This window comes from Homo sapiens, chromosome 15 (genome assembly GCF_000001405.40).
Source record: "Homo sapiens chromosome 15, GRCh38.p14 Primary Assembly".
NCBI lineage: Eukaryota > Metazoa > Chordata > Mammalia > Primates > Hominidae > Homo > Homo sapiens.
This window is the reverse complement of record NC_000015.10, coordinates 87,841,996-87,859,731: the sequence shown is the minus strand read 5'-3', so window position 1 is coordinate 87,859,731 and position 17,736 is coordinate 87,841,996.

The following is a 17,736-nucleotide window of genomic DNA, read 5'->3' as shown; positions in this document are numbered from 1 at the left end:
TTCATTATGTAATAGGGAAGTATGTTGAATTTAAATGTAGTTTGAAAGTTTGGGAAAGTTCGAATGTGTGCAAAGATCATGAGATCCAGTATCAACTCGAGAGACTGAACCTTGCTTTTCTGAGAGGAAAAGGAGATTGCACAATTTTTAAGGTAGCCTATAAGTTAAACATTGGATGGAAATGAGTGTTGTAAGGGGAACATACATGCAATTATTATTTGAGACTGAGTCCCAAGGAAAAGATTGAATATCTCCAGCTCTGTGTCTTTGTGATATCCTGTTACTCCTGATATGTTGATATTCAACTTCCCAGTTATAATCATTTGAGTAAGCTCTCAAAGTAGGATAAAATATGTTCTTTTGAATATCCATTTACCCCAAAGATTTTATTATCCTTTAGCATAATTAATTTAAAACTCTTTCCCTCTCTTCTCTTTTCATTCCAATTTCTCTCTCTTTGTCTACATATTTTCTGCTTTATGTCATATAATGTGTTTTCCTTAATAACATTTCACTGCTTATTTTCGTTAATTTATTTCAAAAAGATCGATGGGTTCTAGGATAAAATGTGGAAGAGAGACAGGAAGCACAGATTGCAATTCCACTAACAGGAGTTCAACAGAGATGTAGAAAGGTTTAAACAGAGTTTTTCCATTATGGCACTGTTGACATTTTAGACTAAATAATTCTTTGTTGTAGGGGGCTTTTCTGTGCATTCTATGATGTTCATCAGCATTTTTATTAGTGCATTAGCAGTCCTTCTCTGCCTCCTCCACCCCCACCCTACTAGGGTGTGAAGACCAAAAATGCCTCCAGACATTGCCAGGTGCTTCCTGGGGGGAAAAATTGCTGCACTTGAGAAACACTTGCTTAAGCTTTTACATCTTGCCACACAGTATTAAAAGACGAATCAAATTCAGGAAATATAAGAGCCCCTGGTCATGCTCCAGCCCTTTCCAGACCAGCCGCTTGGCTGTGCCATATGGTAAACTTGCTGCTGCTTTTCTTTAAGCACACTTCTCTTCAAAGCCCATTGCTGAGAATCAAGTTACAATACTACATTTGGGGTTTAGACAGTGATAGAAATAACTTCTTCATCTACATGGATCAAAAATGTCTTCATCCCTAGAATATTTGTTCATATCACTTAAAAATGTGTAATTTTTGTGTGGTTAAGTCCTTTGGGTCTGTGTGAGAAGAAACTCAAACACTCTTTTTAAAGATGATGTCCCTGTGAAAGATGCTGGCAGACCTAAGAGAGAGAAACCTTTGGTTTTCAATGGTTCCAACGTATTTTCCACCTGCCGCAGAAAGTTACATAAATTATAGGGTCATAAGTAGACCTTGTGTAGGCCTGGGATATAAGTCTCCAGTATAGAAACTCCTTTCGATGAGTAAGTAGAACTTGCATTAACTTGGTCCAGGCAAAAGTCAATGTTCTCTGTACAATGCTATGAACACAGTACACATTTAATGGACGTTTGCTGCATTGCACTGGATTTCTCATTCTCCAAGCCCCAGATTATTTGTACAACACTCAAAGTACCATCATTATGCCACCTCTTCAACTCACTCATGGAAACACTCAGGATCCAAAATTCTGAAAAACCTGACAGCATGTTCATTATGAAGGAAATATCTCTTCTCCCCAGAATGTGGCTACCTTTGCATCAGTGGCTTCCTATGACAGCCAGCGAGAGCAGAATTAGGCTGCTTGAAGGCAAAAATAGGTGTTTCTCAAGGTAGGATTTTGGATGTCCCCTGAAATCTAGGCCTAAGTCTTGACCTTTGTATAGTCTACTCCAGTGATGGCTTGAGACCAAAGCACTGTGAGAGACTTCTGGTTCCATCCTACATAGCCTCAAACCCATCTTTCTTCAGGAAGTCCTTCCAATGCCACACAAAGGCCAAGGAGGCTGTGGAGGTGTGCAGCTTCACTTTAGACTGTCCTCATGCCCTTGTGACTCATGATTTGACATTTAATTTGAGATGACAATCCAAGGACTGGAATAAATTATGGCCTCCTAGGTCTGGAAGGTCCTTGATTGATAATCTCATTCAACTACCTGCCTGTGGCCAGGGTTCTCAGGTGCATAAGAACTGGGAGAATCTCCCAAATAAAGGCATCTTCCAGTGCTGGAGGGCATGGCTGGTAAAATAGTCTTATAAAGATCACTTGGTCCTAAAATATCAGCATCTCAGTGGTGACACAAAAAAGCTGGGGTTTAAGGAAGATACTTTAGAAATAGCAACTAGCCATTGCTGAGAGTGAACCTGGAGGCTGTTCATAATGACACTGAGAGCAGAAATGCCAAGAAGGTGCTCATTTGACACAGGGCAGAGGTGGAAATTAATCTGAAAGTTGATGTCCAAGGTAGGGGTCGCTCTTTAAAAAAAAAATAAGTAATTAAGTTAAATTAAAATTTACTTTTTTTTTTTTTTTTTTTGAGACAGAATCTCACTCTGTCACCCAGGCTGGAGTGCGGTGGTGCGATCTCGGCTCACTGCAAGCTCCATCTCCCGGTTTCATGCCATTCTCCCGCCTCAGCCTCCGGAGTAGCTGGGACTACAGGTACTCGCCACCATGCCCGGCTAATTTTTTGTGTTTTTAGTAGAGACGGGGTTTCACCATTCACAGGATGGTCTCGATCTCCTGACCTCGTGATCCACCCACCTCAGCCTCCCAAAGTGCTGGGATTACAGGCATGAGCCACCACGCCTGGCCTAAAATTTACTTTTTAAGAAACAGGGTCTCCACTGTATTGCCCAGGCTGGAGTGCAGTGGCACAGTGATAGTTCACTGCAGCCTCCAACTCCTGGGCTCAAGTGATCCTCCTGCCTGCTTCAGCCTCCTGAGCAGCTAGTATCACAGGTGCATGTCATCACACCTGGGCTAATTTTTGTTTTATTTCATTTTATTTGTACTTTTTGTAGAGATGAAGTCTCACTATGTTACCCAGGTTGGCCTCAAACTCCTGGCCTCAAGCTATCTTCCTGTCTGTGGTAAATCTTGTTATGGACTTTAGATAGATATAGGAGTGAGCTCCCAAAAATACTGCCTTGCTTAATCTTCTCAGGACACATTTCCTTAGTATTTCAAGGCATGGTGGGCTTCTTGTGCTGGGCCATGACCTATTCTTTGCTCCTATTGGGATGCTCAAAATTACTTAGCTATTAACTAGGGAGATGTTCTATTTTAACCTCTCTTTTCCCCCATGTTCTGAATTGTTCAAATCTCCGATGCAGGGCTCAGCAGAGGATCTAATTACTGCCCTGCTTGCCACTTGCTGATTAGCTTCAAGAGCCAGGGAATGACTTTAAAACAGTTAAATATCAAGAGGCAGCTTCTTTAAAAATTCTACAGGAGTCTCAGTCTTACTAAGGGAAGCTGGATGGTATAGTCTGAGAGAGTTTGCTGGATAAGGCCGTCTTCTAACTACACATCATTGCCAGATACTCAAGGCTCAGGAGAAAGCCCTGCTTTGAATTAAATAAGGCGATCTTTATGAATGTCCTAGTCACAGTCCTTTCCTCATCAGAATCTTGAGAACATTCACCACCCCTCTTGTCACTCAAGCTCAAGCAGTCTTAGCTGACAAATGCTAAGATATAATGGAAAGAGGCAGTGGAAGGAAGAAGGTGCAGAACATGATCACGAGCATCCATATTCAAATCAAACATCACTATTTGCCAAGCTCTCTGCTAAGGGCTCAACATGAGTTAATACTCTTAATGGGGTCAGGTACTAACAATATTACTGTTGTATAAATGTGCTAATCATGCCTTAGAGGTTTATATAATTTGCCCAAGGCCACCCAGTTTCTTGAGGCAGAGCCAGGGCTTAAACCCTGCAATTGGGTTTAGTACACATGGTCTTAATTACCACTCTATAGCTCTCTTACATGGATAGAAGCTCCTGTCTAAAACAACAGTGGAGGGTTTTAGGCTGAGGAAAACAGAGCAGAGATGCAGTTTGGAAGACATATCTTTTTTGGGATAATTATTCATTTATCTACTTATTCATTCACTCATTTATCCATTAATTCATTTGTGTAATCAATCAGTTTAGGAGTGCTTTTAAGGTAGATGTGGCACAATGTGCTGAAGCCTGAAGATGTAAAAGCATTTAAGATCCCCTGTCTCCACACCATCTTCCCTGCCTCGTACTGGGAATCCCACAGTGAACAGAAGAAGGAGTAGGGTGCTAAGAGCAAGAGTATAAGATCAAATGGAGGGGCAGTATTTCTGTCCATGACTTGGATGTTGGCTAAGGGAAGAGTGTTGGGTAAAGAGAATCCCCTGGGCTTCTCCCAGAACAGAGCCAAGTTCTCACCCACTGTGACCTTGGGCTATGCATAGCAAGTGCTAGGGTTTTGAGATAACACCTAATCAGAGTTCAGTAGGAGTCTTTGCCTTCTGCTGAATTTCATGCTAGGTGGGAAGCCAGACTCTTCTCCCAAGCCGTATGCACACATTGACTTAGAGAGCAGGGAAATGTCTCAATCATGGTCTGACACCCTTAAGTCACTGCTCCAGAGACATACTGGCCCTGCTCATTTTCTACCTCTGTGAGATGCAACAAGCCAGTGTGTCCTGATACATAGCAGAAAGCCCCACTGGCAGAGTTATGCTCAATAGGGCCGATCATAAATATGGTTTATGGAGTTAGTTCATTTACTGCCTCTGATGCTGGCCCCAGCTGCCACGAGTTTGACTGACAATTTCTGTTTATTTATTTCTCACTATATAATATCTGACTTCACATTATAAATTCTTCTGATTGGAATTTCACGCCATCTGCTCCAGTATTTAGTGATGGCATGCTAATCAGGGACTCAGTCTTTTTTTTGGGATGAGCTGGACTCTGAGCTCTTGGTTGTGCCTGTGAGGGTGAGGCTAGGGCCCTGTCACCCCTAGAGAGGGATATTTTACTGTTGTAAAAATCCTCTTGTGCCTTTTGATAGACAGTCCTCTATATATTAGAGATATGATGGTCACCTATGATGGATAACTTGTGATTCAGAACCAGCAGAAGTAATCGGCAAAGAGCAACTCAGAGTCAAAGTGGTGTGTGACTATTTAGAAGAGGGCTGGAGGGGAGAGTATGGCACACCAGTTTTTGCCTAGATAGATGATGGCTACCATGTCCTTTTCCTTATTACTTCTGTTCTAGTCCGTAGGTGAAGCAAAATGACCACTTAGTCAAAGGTTGGACAAAAGACCCCAGGAGAGTTCTGAAGGTGTTTTTTCTCACCCTATAAATGTAGGGCCTTTCATCCAGGAATGATTGGATTGATCATAAAATGTTTTGAGAAAAACGGTGATTTTTAAAAACACTGGATGTATATTGCTCACAGGAATTTTACATTTTCTCTAGAGAAATGAGGTGATAATATTGTTTGTGATTTTTTTTTTCCAGTGCCATCAACCACTGTTAAGACCCCCCTCTGTCTCACTCTGAGTCAGCTTTGTCTGCACCAACTCCTATAGTCCAGTACTGCAGGACTGATATGGCCCAGCCTCTGGCTTTACCTGCTCTGGCCCCTTATCAGTCCTAGAGGAAGAAAATGACATTCATTAAGCACCTCCCATGCACCAGTTGGGCAGGTCAATAAACCTTCATCATAACCACTCCTCATGAGTTACATATTTTTGTCTTTACTTTGCCAGGTGAGAAAACTGGGGTTTGGAGAACCTAAGTCTTAGAAAGATTAACTTCCTTCCCAAAGGACACAAAGCAAGTTTGAGTCAGGGACAAAATTTAACCTTATGTCTCTCTGACCACAAGCAAATTTTGTTTCTACTTGGTATTCCCTGTGAGAATGTTTAAAGGAAAGGTGTTTAAAGAAGGTGATGACTTCTACAGCATCACCTTATTCCCCAAACCACTAGGAAAAAATATAACTCTCATTATCCCAACATCCTCCTCATCCACTGGGGACCTTGGGCAAGTCAGTTAGCTTCTGTGCGTCTCAGTTTTCTCATTTATAAAAAAGATTGTCATACCTACAGCCTGTTGTTATAGTACCAGGTCATGTGAAGACATGCACTAAGTGTTTAGTGCAGGGTCTTGCACTTGATAGTCCCTGAGTAAATGGTAATAATCATTTGCCATCATCATCACCATCACCATCATTATTATCATTACCAGTTGTCTTCATCCTCCTCCTCGTCATCATCATGTCATCATCAATATTATAATCATCATGATTCTTTTATCTTCTTGAGAGTGGCCTATCCTTTTACTGAGAATTAAATGTGTCCCTGATGGGGTTCTGGGAGGCTTTTTCTGAATGAAACAGAACTGGTGAGCCAATGAGAGCACTAAGATTACATTATTGATTTGTGTCTCCCAAGGCCAAGCCCTATTAAGATTCGTTAAATCAAACAATAAAAATCCCAGCTTCCACACTTTTCCAATCATGGATCAAATTCAATCCATCTCTCCCCAGCTTCCCCCAGCCTGGTCATGGTTATTTGTCTCTAACTGTCACACAAGGAGAAGGTCATTAACAGCCACTAAATAGATCCAGGAATAATAGCAGCCCACTGAGCTTTAAAACTAGAATACATTTCACAAAAGTAAAAATTTGTCCTGCTGTTAATATTTGAGCAATAGAAAGAGACATTGAAGAGTGGCATCTGCCATTTTAGGGTCATCTGCTCGTTGCTTAGGTGGACTTTATTAATCCCATTTTCCAATTGAGAAAACTGAACTTCAAAGAGGTTAATTGACTCGTCTAATGACACCAGCTCATAAATGGCAGAGGTGAAATATGAACCTAGGTTCATCTGACTCCGAAGCCCATGCTATTTTGACAATGTTCTGCTGCTTTTGTAAACTCACAAGGACTTACAGATACATATACAACGACACATGTTCATATACACATTATAGTTTCTCCGAAGACTTCTCAGGGCAGTCGGGTCAGGGTTAGTTAGATGAACTTGCAAAGCAAGAGACTCCAAGGCCAGGGCCACCATTCCCCTCCCGTGTGGTGTCTTTATAGGCCAGAAACAGAAACTTTTCCCCAAGCCTGGAGTCATGGTCATTATGCCCTGAGACCTTGAGAGCAAGGATAAAGAGTCTGGAAAGTATGATTTCCATCTTATTCCTATCCCTTGGCAAATGTCTTACACCATTCACTTTACTGATCTTAAGATAAGAGCATAGCAAGATGATATTCTGTACTACTAACCTGAATGGACGAATGGACAGCAGACAACCCACATTGGGTGTATTTGAACTATGGCCACTCTTTACCAATAAAACAAGACAAAATAGCAAAGCCTTTCATTTCACACCATGAAGGGCATACTCATTACCAGGGGATGCTCTAATCCAATGCCCACATCAAATTCTCTGGCCCTGGAGGTGGAAGTTGGCCTTCTCTCACACTTTTATCTTGGCACTGTGTTTGGAGGACATGTTAATATGAGGCATAAAAGAAGGCAAGCAAAATACATACTTGCAATTAAAAAAAATGACAGGATGCTGCTTTTCCCAGGAAGTGTCAAGGATTCGTTTAAAAAAAAAGGTGAACAGGGCAATGTCAACAACAAACAAACGAAAACAGATGAAACAGTAAGAGTCAGTGAAAGACAAGGTTGCCCCCCAAATAAATTTAACTTTGCAATAATTTGAGGTTAGAATAGATGAGGAAATTGCTTGCATTCACACAGCGGTTCAAAAAATTACCATTTTACTACTAATAATAGTTCCAGGGATAATAATAGAAGTATTATCATTATGTTATTATGACTATATTAACATTAAAACTCTACCGTCTATTGACTAAGACAGACATTATTATGCTCATTTTAAAGACAAAGTCACTAAAGCTTAAGGAGATTAAAAGAATTGCCCAAATCTACTCAGCTACTAAGGTGGAGTCTCTCAATCTTGGCATTATTGACACTTAGCATAAGATAATTCTTTGTTCTGGGAAGCTGTCCTGTGAGTACGTGGTTTGGCACCAGACTGTGCCATTGTAAAATGGCACAGCATCCCTGGCCTGTACCCCCTAGATGTCAGTAGCACCTGCCAGTCATGATGATTAAAATGTCACTGGACATTGTCAAAATTGGCCCCAGTTGAGTTGAGAACCACTGCTGTTAAGAGATGGAGTTGGGTTTCATGCCCAGGTCTACAGACTTTCTAATCCAAGGTCATTATGCTGCTTAAAGGAGTCATAAACTAAGACAGAATTTATGCACAAAAATAGTGCGATTAAGCACAGGTAAGGAATCTCCCTCTAAAAAGAGAAAGAATCTGAAAACAACTTACTAGCAGGAAAAAAGTAAGGGCTGGGGTATAACTTTATGTTATAAACTCTCAGAGTGGTGGTTATAAAACTATAAATTCTGGCGGAGTTGCTATGGTCTCTGTCCCTCCCCTCAGCCCTTAGAAGTAATGCTGGAGAAAGAATGTCAATTGGAAAAAAAATGCTGAGATTCGCAGAGAAGTGGCTTGAGGGAGCTCAGGAAAGCTGTGGGCAAATCCTCTAGTGCAGAGGGCCCTGCTGACTTTGTGAGGCTCTCATCAAAGGCAGCAATGTTGGTTAGAGCTCCCCTCGGTCTCATGGCTCCAATCTGTCTGGGGACAGATCCAAGCACACCTCTAGCATATCCAGTTCATGGCTGGGATATCAGCCAAACAGTCCGTCAAAGGACATTTGCATCAAGCCAAGTCCTCCAGAATTCCGGCCCCCACTGGGCTGTCCCTCTTTCCTTCCCAGATTTTCTCAGACCACAGAAAAACTGATAGCACACAATACTCAACCCTCAAACTTCTGCTGAGACATAAATGTTTCAGTTAAGGTGGGAAGAATGTCAAAGAGAATTCACCCACTATGGATCAGGATAAATAGAAAATATGGATCCAATTGCTCATGTTAAGAAAGAGCTAGTAAAAGAAATGTAATAATGAATATATATATCATATTATATATAATTTTGTTATATATAATATAGATTATACAATAAAGAGAAATGGAGAAATGATGGATAAATAGATAGTTGGGTGGAAGGAAGGAATAGAGCATTCAAAACATATTTACAGAACAGAATCTGGAATAGAAAACAAGAAGGAAATCCTCCTGAGTCCTTGAAGGTATAGAACAAAATAACGATAGAAATTTAATAAAATGAGCTTTATAATCAGGTTATAACCAGCCGACTGAGAAAGAAAAAAATCACAAGAAATTAAGAAAGCAAATTAAAGACCAATGACAGTATCCTTTCCTGACTAACAAATAAATAAAAAACAGCAAAAAAAATAAGAGACATGGTCAAAAATGAAATTACTGACTCAGAGAAGGAGCTTGAAGAGCTTACCATGCACACAAAGAAAAGGAGTTTAAATCAGCTACAGATAGGAGAATGGATATAGGTGCCACAGGTAATTCAACCCAGGTTAATTGATGTCCTTTAAGAAGATAATCCAACAAATGGAATGGAGGTAGTATTTGAAAATGCAATAGAAGAAAATTATCCTCAAATTTCAGAAGAACTGAATTTACATATGCAAAGATTAAAGTGTATTCCAGAGGAACACAAAGACATTTTCTGCCTAAGTTATTAAATTGTGTATAATAAAGAAAGAATTTGAGGCAGCCGGTCTCCCTCCCAGGGTAAAAATTAGTCTGGTTTTGTATTTTTTCACAGCAAAATCAATGGATAGGGACAATGAGACTGTCTACAGTGATCAATGGGAAAGAAAATATGCCACAAGGATATCATAAGCAGCTTTGCTGAAATTCAAATTCATGTCACCATCAAGTTGCCTAATAGACTCTACTTAGAAACTCTTTGAAATGAGATCTGTTAATCCCAAAGTTAAACCTATAACTATCATTAAAAATGGACATGCGAGGCTGGCCGTGGTGGCTCATACCTGTAATCCCAGCACTTTGGGAGGTTGAGGAGGGTGGATCGCCCGAGGTCAGGAGTTTGAGACTAGCTCGGCCAACATGGCAAAACCCTGTCTCTACTAAAAGTATAAAAATTAGCAGGGCATGATGACCCAATCCCAGCTTCTCAGGAGGCTGAGGCAGGAGAATCACTTGAGCCCAGGAGGTGGAGGTTGCAGTGAGCAGGCCATTGCACTCTAGCATGGGCAAAAAGAGTGAAACTCCATCTAAAAAAAAAAAAAAAAAAGGACTTGCCACTTAAACCCCTGTGTTAGAAGACTGTTAAACAATTGCTACTGGATTTACAAGCAAACAAACAAAAAATGCATGCCTTGAGAATTTTATAAGTCCAGGCAAATTGGATACAAAGTTAAAGGACAGACAGGGTCACTGTGTGACCCCTTCTCTCTCCGCCTCTTCCCACTGCCCCCACCAAAACCATGAAAACAGCTCCAAGATAGGAGAACATGTGGGGATTAGTCATAAATACTTTTAAATATTGAATACAATCCAAGTCATGGTTATTTAGATTATTTTAGAAATAATGGTTTAAAATCAAAAGAATATGAAAATTGACAATATAAAATTATACTGTAATTAACAAAAATCGGTAAGAGACAACATAAACATTTCTTCATTTCTCCTAGCAGGGTGTTAGTTAATAGTATCTAAGGCGAAACAAGTAATTTGAAAGTGACTCCATATTTTCTTTATCTATTCATCCATTGATGTCTTGGCTAATGTGAAAAGTGTTGTAATTATAGTGCAGATATCTTTTCCACATGCTGATTTCAATTCATTTGTAGATATATCCAGAAATGGATTTGCTGGATCATATGATAATTATATTTGCCTTTTGAGGGACTGCATACTTTCTCTACAATGTCTGCACTAATTTACCTTCCCACCAATAGTGTAGAAGGATTCCACTTCCTCCACATCCTCACCAATGCTTATTTTCTGTTGCCTCTGTGATAATAGCCATTTTCACAGGTGTGAGATGATGTCTCATTGTGATTTCAATTTGCTTTCCCCGATAATTAGTGATGTTGAGCATTTAAAAAATAAACCTATTGGTTTATTTCTGTGCCTAAGCTAGGCACAGAAAGAGAGATATCCCATGATCTCACTTATATTTGAAATCTAAAAATGTCAGACTCGTAGGAGTAGAGAGTAGAATGACGGTGACCAGAAGCTGAGGTAGGGGATGGGGTGGGCAATGGAGAGAAGTTGACCAAAGGGCACAGAGTTCCATTTAGACAAAGGAATAAGTTTTCAAGATCTATTGCACAGCAAGGTGACCCTAGTTAATAATACTGTGTTAAATATTTCAAAATTGCTAAAAAAGGGTTTAAATGTTTTCATTACAAAAAATAAGCATTTGAGGTGATGAATATGTTAATTAGCTTGATGTAATCATCCCACAATGTATACATATGGCAAAATATCACAATAAACCCTATAAATGTACGTAATTATTATTTGGCAATTAAAATTTAATAAATTTTAAAAAGACACAGGAGACATATAAAACTGACTCTGACATTTTCATGTTTTACATAATCTTTTATATCAACAATGTATTAACTTTTAGGCATTATTGTGCAATACTTTTTATGTCTCTGATTTGGAGACATAGAGAGATGCAACTGAAACATAAAATGTGTGTGGCCTTTGGAGTTTTACAGATCTGGATGCACCTTGCATCTGACACTTGACTAGAGGTTCATTAGACAAGGTCCCAAAATCTAAGTCTAAAGTTTCCTTATCTGTAACAAGGGAATAACCACACCTACTTAGCAGGGTTGCTTTGAGTTTGTGATGTCATGTCCAACACCGTGCCTAGCATTGGTCAGAGTTTTTTTTGTTTTTTTTTTTTGAGACGGAGTCTCGCTCTGTCACCCAGGCTGGAGTGCAGTGGCAAGATCTCGGCTCACTGCAAGCTCCACCTCCTGGGTTCACGCCATTCTCCTGCCTCAGCCTCCGAGTAGCTGGGACTACAGGTGCCCGCCACCACAGCCGGCTAATTTTTTTGAATTTTTTAGTAGAGACAAGATTTCACCGTGTTAGCCAGGATGGTCTCGATCTCCTGACCTCGTGATCCACCCAAAGTGCTGGTCCCAGGTATTTCCGCTTGGTGAGAGCTTCCAGAAGCAGCATGCAGAACAAAAACAAGCATAGCCTGTTAGACTGATGGAGACAGGGGCAGCTTTCAGGGGCTGGGCAAGGGGCCCAGTTCCGCCCCAGCAGCTGGTGTGAGGTGCAGAGCCAGTGCTGAGCAAGGGTCCATCCCACCTGACCCTAGGTGCACTTGGTTTCCGTGACAGTTGTTTTATCAATAATATTTATGAAGTTAAGGAATTTAAAGAAAAACAAAAATGGATTAAATCATCTTTCGTGTGCCAGGTATGTTTATATTCTGTGCATCTCATTTAATTGACATTAATGATAATAGTCATTTAACAATAACTATTACCTTTATTTCACACATGAAACAGCCACAGCCCAAAGAAGTTAAGACACTTGTATAATGTCTCAAAAGTGGTGAGTGCCTGACACCTTTTTGCTGAACTGAGGCCTGCCTAACTCAGCGTCCTCTTCACTGTGTCATCATTCCTACCTGTGATGATGGGATTAAAAACCAAATACAGTATAAAGAAAATGTAGTATATCCATACAGTGGAATAGTATTAGACATAAAAAAATGGAAGAACTGGCACATGCTACAAAATGATTAAACCTTGGAAACATTATGCTAAGTGAAGGAAGCCAAACACAAAAGACTACATATTGCACGATTCCATTTATATGAAGTGTCCAGAATAGGCAAATCCACAGAGACAGAAAGAGTAGTCGCAGCCAGGGCCTGGAGGAGGGAGAAGTGAGGAATGACTGCTAATGGGCATGCGGTTTCTGTTTGGGGTGATTCAAAGAGTTCTGGAACTAGACAGTGGTGATGTTTGCACAACATTGTGAATGTACTTAATGCCACCAAACTGTACACTTTAAAGTGGTTAAAATGGTAAATGTTATGTGTATTTTACCACAGTGAAAAGGTAAAAAATATAATCCACTGTTGCCTTGCTGGGGCAGGGGGACAGCACTTCCGGGCATCCATAGCCCCTCCTCAACTCTGCACCCCTCAATCACTAGCTCTGCTCAAAATTCTCCTTCAGGCCTAGAATAACCCAACACTAATGAATGGAAAGTGGTGACAATTGTCTTTTTAAAACCCAACCACCCTTCACACACACATGCAGATGTATGGTTTCCATGTTTCCTATATGAATACACGAAAACATGAATGAAGGTATAGGTGATGTGGAGGGAAACTTCATTCATTCACACTAATTACCATAATAAGAGCAAATACAATTTGAGTGGTCACTGTGTGCTGGGCATGATGCAAGGTGATCTGATGATAAATATCTAATGACATTTCAGCAGGGGTGATATTATCATGCCCTGATTAGGAAATGGAGACCTTCAGAAGTTGTGATTTGCCTGAAACTACAGAGATGACATGTAGTAGAGCAGGAATCCAAACCATTTCCAACTTCCAAGTTCATGCATATCCAGACAAGAAGTGTCTGAAATAAAGAAAATCCTAGCTTGCAGAATATAAATAAATTATTGCAGTTTTATTCTTTTTCCCTGATACATTAACTAAACCTGGTGAGCAGGCTATTTCTTAATAGGAGCTCCTAAATATGAAACATTACATATAAATTGATAAGATTTTATTTGGAATTTGAGCTCCTATGTGCTGATTTGTGGTATAAATGTTCACTGCTGAAAAAGAAAAATCATTTTCATAGGAAAAAATGACTTCAGGATTCACCACTGTATGGAAAGTCAACAATGCAAAATTAGTGGAGGTCATTTGGTGAGGTTTGAGTGATGTGAGTGGTTTCCCATGAAACCGTGGGAAGGTTTCATCACTGAGCAGTCCCATCAAGGAGTGGTGCTCATCTTATCCTTACATGCAGCTAATCTCATCCCATGAGTGCCAGGAAGCCCCTGTGCTGTTTTTCACATGTGTGAAGAGGGGTAACTTTACATGGCATAGGTGATTGATGGGCTCAGCAATTTGGATATATTGAGAGAAGCATTGGGTAGTGTCCATCAGTTGGAGGACTCAGTGGCCACCTGCAGTCACTGTCAATGGACAGCCTTCACTGGACCCACTGAAGAGCAGCTTCTCAGTCTCTGTGTCACAGTGAGCACCCAATTAATGGAGAGTGGATGGGACATTGCCTTTGTGTCCAACTCACTCCCTAGACCCAGCCACCCACAGGGCTCTTTTCCACGTCTCTCCTCTCCCCACCCCTTCTGAAGTCCTCCAGGAGGACATCAGGATTAGTATCTTCTCTACCCTCATTCTGTCCTTTTCCAGCCTATTGTTATTAAACACACTGTGCCCAGTCCTCTCATGACCTTCCATTTTGATCCTCCAGATCTTGTATTAGAAATTTAAGTGAAGTGATTTTTCTCTATAACTCCCGTTTTAACCACCCCAATTCTTCTTGAAACAGTGAGGGTACCTCCAACTCACAGTGGTTTCCAAAGTGGGACGCAAGATGATTCATTTGGGTATGACAGAAAAAATTAAAACTTCAATATATTTCTTTCAAAAATTAAAAAATTATACTTTATTGGTTTTGAATATATATGGATTGGCAGTAATGTACTACACATATATCTGTGACACTAATAGGAATGTGCAGTATAAGAAAACCAGAAATTCCTATTCTTAGTGATTGCAAAAGGTCAATATATGTAAAATGTGGAAAAGAAATGAAGAATAAAAGATAAATATTTCAAAATAATGTCTGATTTCATTTATTTTTATACTTATGTCCCATGAAGACAACAATATTTTATAGCAGAAATAAAGTACTATAACTCCTGACACATCTGATTAGTTATTAAGCCACCCTAGAAAGTATCCTGAGTCCAAGACCACTGACGGCTGCATTAATTCAGCAGTCTACAAGCGGAGAGTGCAGGAATCAGGTAGCAACTGTTGGGAAATACCTGATTTGTAGGTTTGGCTTTGTTTTTGTTTTTTAAGCACAACCCCTCCCATTCTGTGGCTCTGTGAAAGATCTCACTTTAATGGAAAGACATTCTCTGGATTTATGGGTATGGATATGCATACATAGTATTACAAAGAGAGGAGCATGACCCCTTACGAGCAGACATGCTTATGGTTCATGGAATGATGTTCGCCCTTTTATTTGGCTTTGTTGGCCTGCATTGCCTCAGCAGTTGCAGAGCAGGCTGAGTATTAGCCATGAACCCCAACAAGAACCCTGACCTCTGGTGTGTGCAAGAGCTGCTCTCAGGCCACCTAACTTTCTCCCATCTCGATGTACACCCACATCACAAGAAGACCTGGAGGCTTCTCATTGGGGAGAGAATAATACAATTTTCTCATTGCCCCATCCATTTCATTTTCAGCTGTGGGATTAAATTTACTCGTTTCTGAAGTGTTGTCTGTGCGTATAAATCATTTAAGTTTATATTTTTGTTGCTGTGGCAACGATGTGGCTAATTGAATTCCAAAGTGTCCTTCTCGATTTCAAAGCCATGATAAAGAGCCAGAGCATTTAATGATGGTAGGCAAAACAGAGGCAGAAGAGGTGGGAGGAAGGGAAAGTAAAATGACACATTCTCCAAGTGGCTCCTAAGAGCTCAGAACAATACCGCTGCTTTGACAGACCAAGCAAGAGCATGGGAGCCGGCCAGCAACCAAGGGATTGTTAAACAGTTAACAAAAGGTGGCCCGGGCTTCTTTGCAAAAGCTCCTGCATCTTCTGACCCTGAAGTTCTGCCGCCTCCTTCCTCTCATCCTGCCTGGTAGTTCTCTTTGCCAAGCAGAGGCTGTATCTTTTCACCCGGAGGGGTCACCGGCAGTTAGCAAACACCTGTTTAATAAAAGCGTCTTGGATGCATGGATGGATGGATGGATGGGTGGATGGATGGATGGATGGATGGATGGATGGATGGATGGACTGGAAAAGAATTGCTAGAAGAAACGCAAAAGGAATCCAGTGTTAAGAGACTGTCACCGGCCAGGCGCGGTGGCTCACGCCTGTAATCCCATCCCTTCCTGGTGATGCTTCCCTTAAAGCCTTCTCAGTGCTTAGTAACTCCCCAGTTTGGAGGCCTGGGCCATGCTGGCTGCTGTATCTAGTAAGGAGGCCAGGCATGGCCAGGCCAGGTGCAATGGGATAGGTGCCTTGGGATGGACTGAGACCTGAACGCAGGCCAAGCCACCAAGCAGGGCAGGCACAGATGCAGGTACTGGGGGAAGGCCAGCCCACCAGCAGAGCTCCCTCAAAGGCCCAGTGATGGGAAACAGGTGGTACAGGGCAAATGGCTGGCCAGCGGAGGGTGAGAGCAGCCCAGAAGAAGGGCAGCATGCACTGTGAGGAAACTCATCGTGATGGTTAATTTCAGGTGTCTACTTGACTGGATTAAAGGATGCCCAGACAGCTGATAAAGCAAGATTTCTGGATATGTCTGTGGGGATGTTTCTAGAAGAGGCTGGCATTTGAACCGGTGGATTAAACAAGGAAGATCTGCCCACATCCAATGTGGGTGGGCACTAGCCAATTGGCTGAAGGTCCTGATAGAACAAAAAAGGCAAAGGAAAGGCAAATTCACTCCCTCCCATAACTGGGATATTCCTCTTCTCCTGCCTTTTGACATCAGAATCCCAGATTCCCCAGCCTGTGGACACTGAGATGTATGCCCCCACCTCCCTTCCAAGGTCCTCAGGCCTTCAGTATTAGACATGTCTGCTTCCATGGTTCTGAGGCTTTTGGACATGCACTGAGCATACTCCTGGCTCACCTTGTTCTCAAGCTTGCAGACAGCAGCCTGTCACTGGACTTCTCAGCCTTCATAATCATGTGAGCCAATTCCCCTAATAGATCCTGTCTGTCTATCTATCTATTATCTATCTATCTATCATCTATCTCTCCATCAATCATCTATCTATCATCTATCTATCTATCAACAAATCATCTATCTATCTACCTATGTAATCTCCTATTGGTTTTATTTCTCTGAAGGGCCCTGACCCAACCAATTCAAAGCTGTTCAGGAAGCCAGCACCTCAGAAACACCGAAATCTAGGAGCTTGACTCCATCACCCAGACTGAGGTTAATGGCAAAATTCTGGTCCTGGTGGTCAGCTGGTAAGAACAGGGTAAGTGTAGGCCTAGGAGGTAAGGCTGCCAGGCAGAAATGAAATGTTCATACCTAAACTATAAAAGATGAGGTAGAAATGTGGTATTTCAGGAAAGGTCAGGTTATTAGAATGGGCTTCCTTGGAGATGTTTAGACCCTTCCTATCTGAAGTCAAGTTGGAACTAAGGCTCAGATGGCACTGAGCCTTTTAATAGAGCTCAGGTGTCACCAACTGGAGGAGACATGAAGTCAGAAGCTGGGCATCCTGTGGGGCTTGACCAGGGACTGAGAGGATCCGGCTACACTTCTGTTCATTCATTCATTCATTCCCCCAAGACTTACCGATCACCTTTCCTCTGTGCTGGGTTTGTGCTAACCTTTCTTGTGGCTTGATGCAGCCACAGGGGTTTATAGTATGACAGGATCAAACTATTCTATTCTACAGGGTCTCAGATATGAGTCCTCCTAACTGCTGTATTTCAAGCTCCTTGAGGCCATCATTGGGGTCTTAATAATAATTATATTTCTGACAACCAGGCACACAAAAATGTTAGTGAATGTTTACTAAAATATAAACAGTTTATTTAGTTGAAGCCCTTTACTTCATAGCCCCACCTTGATCAAT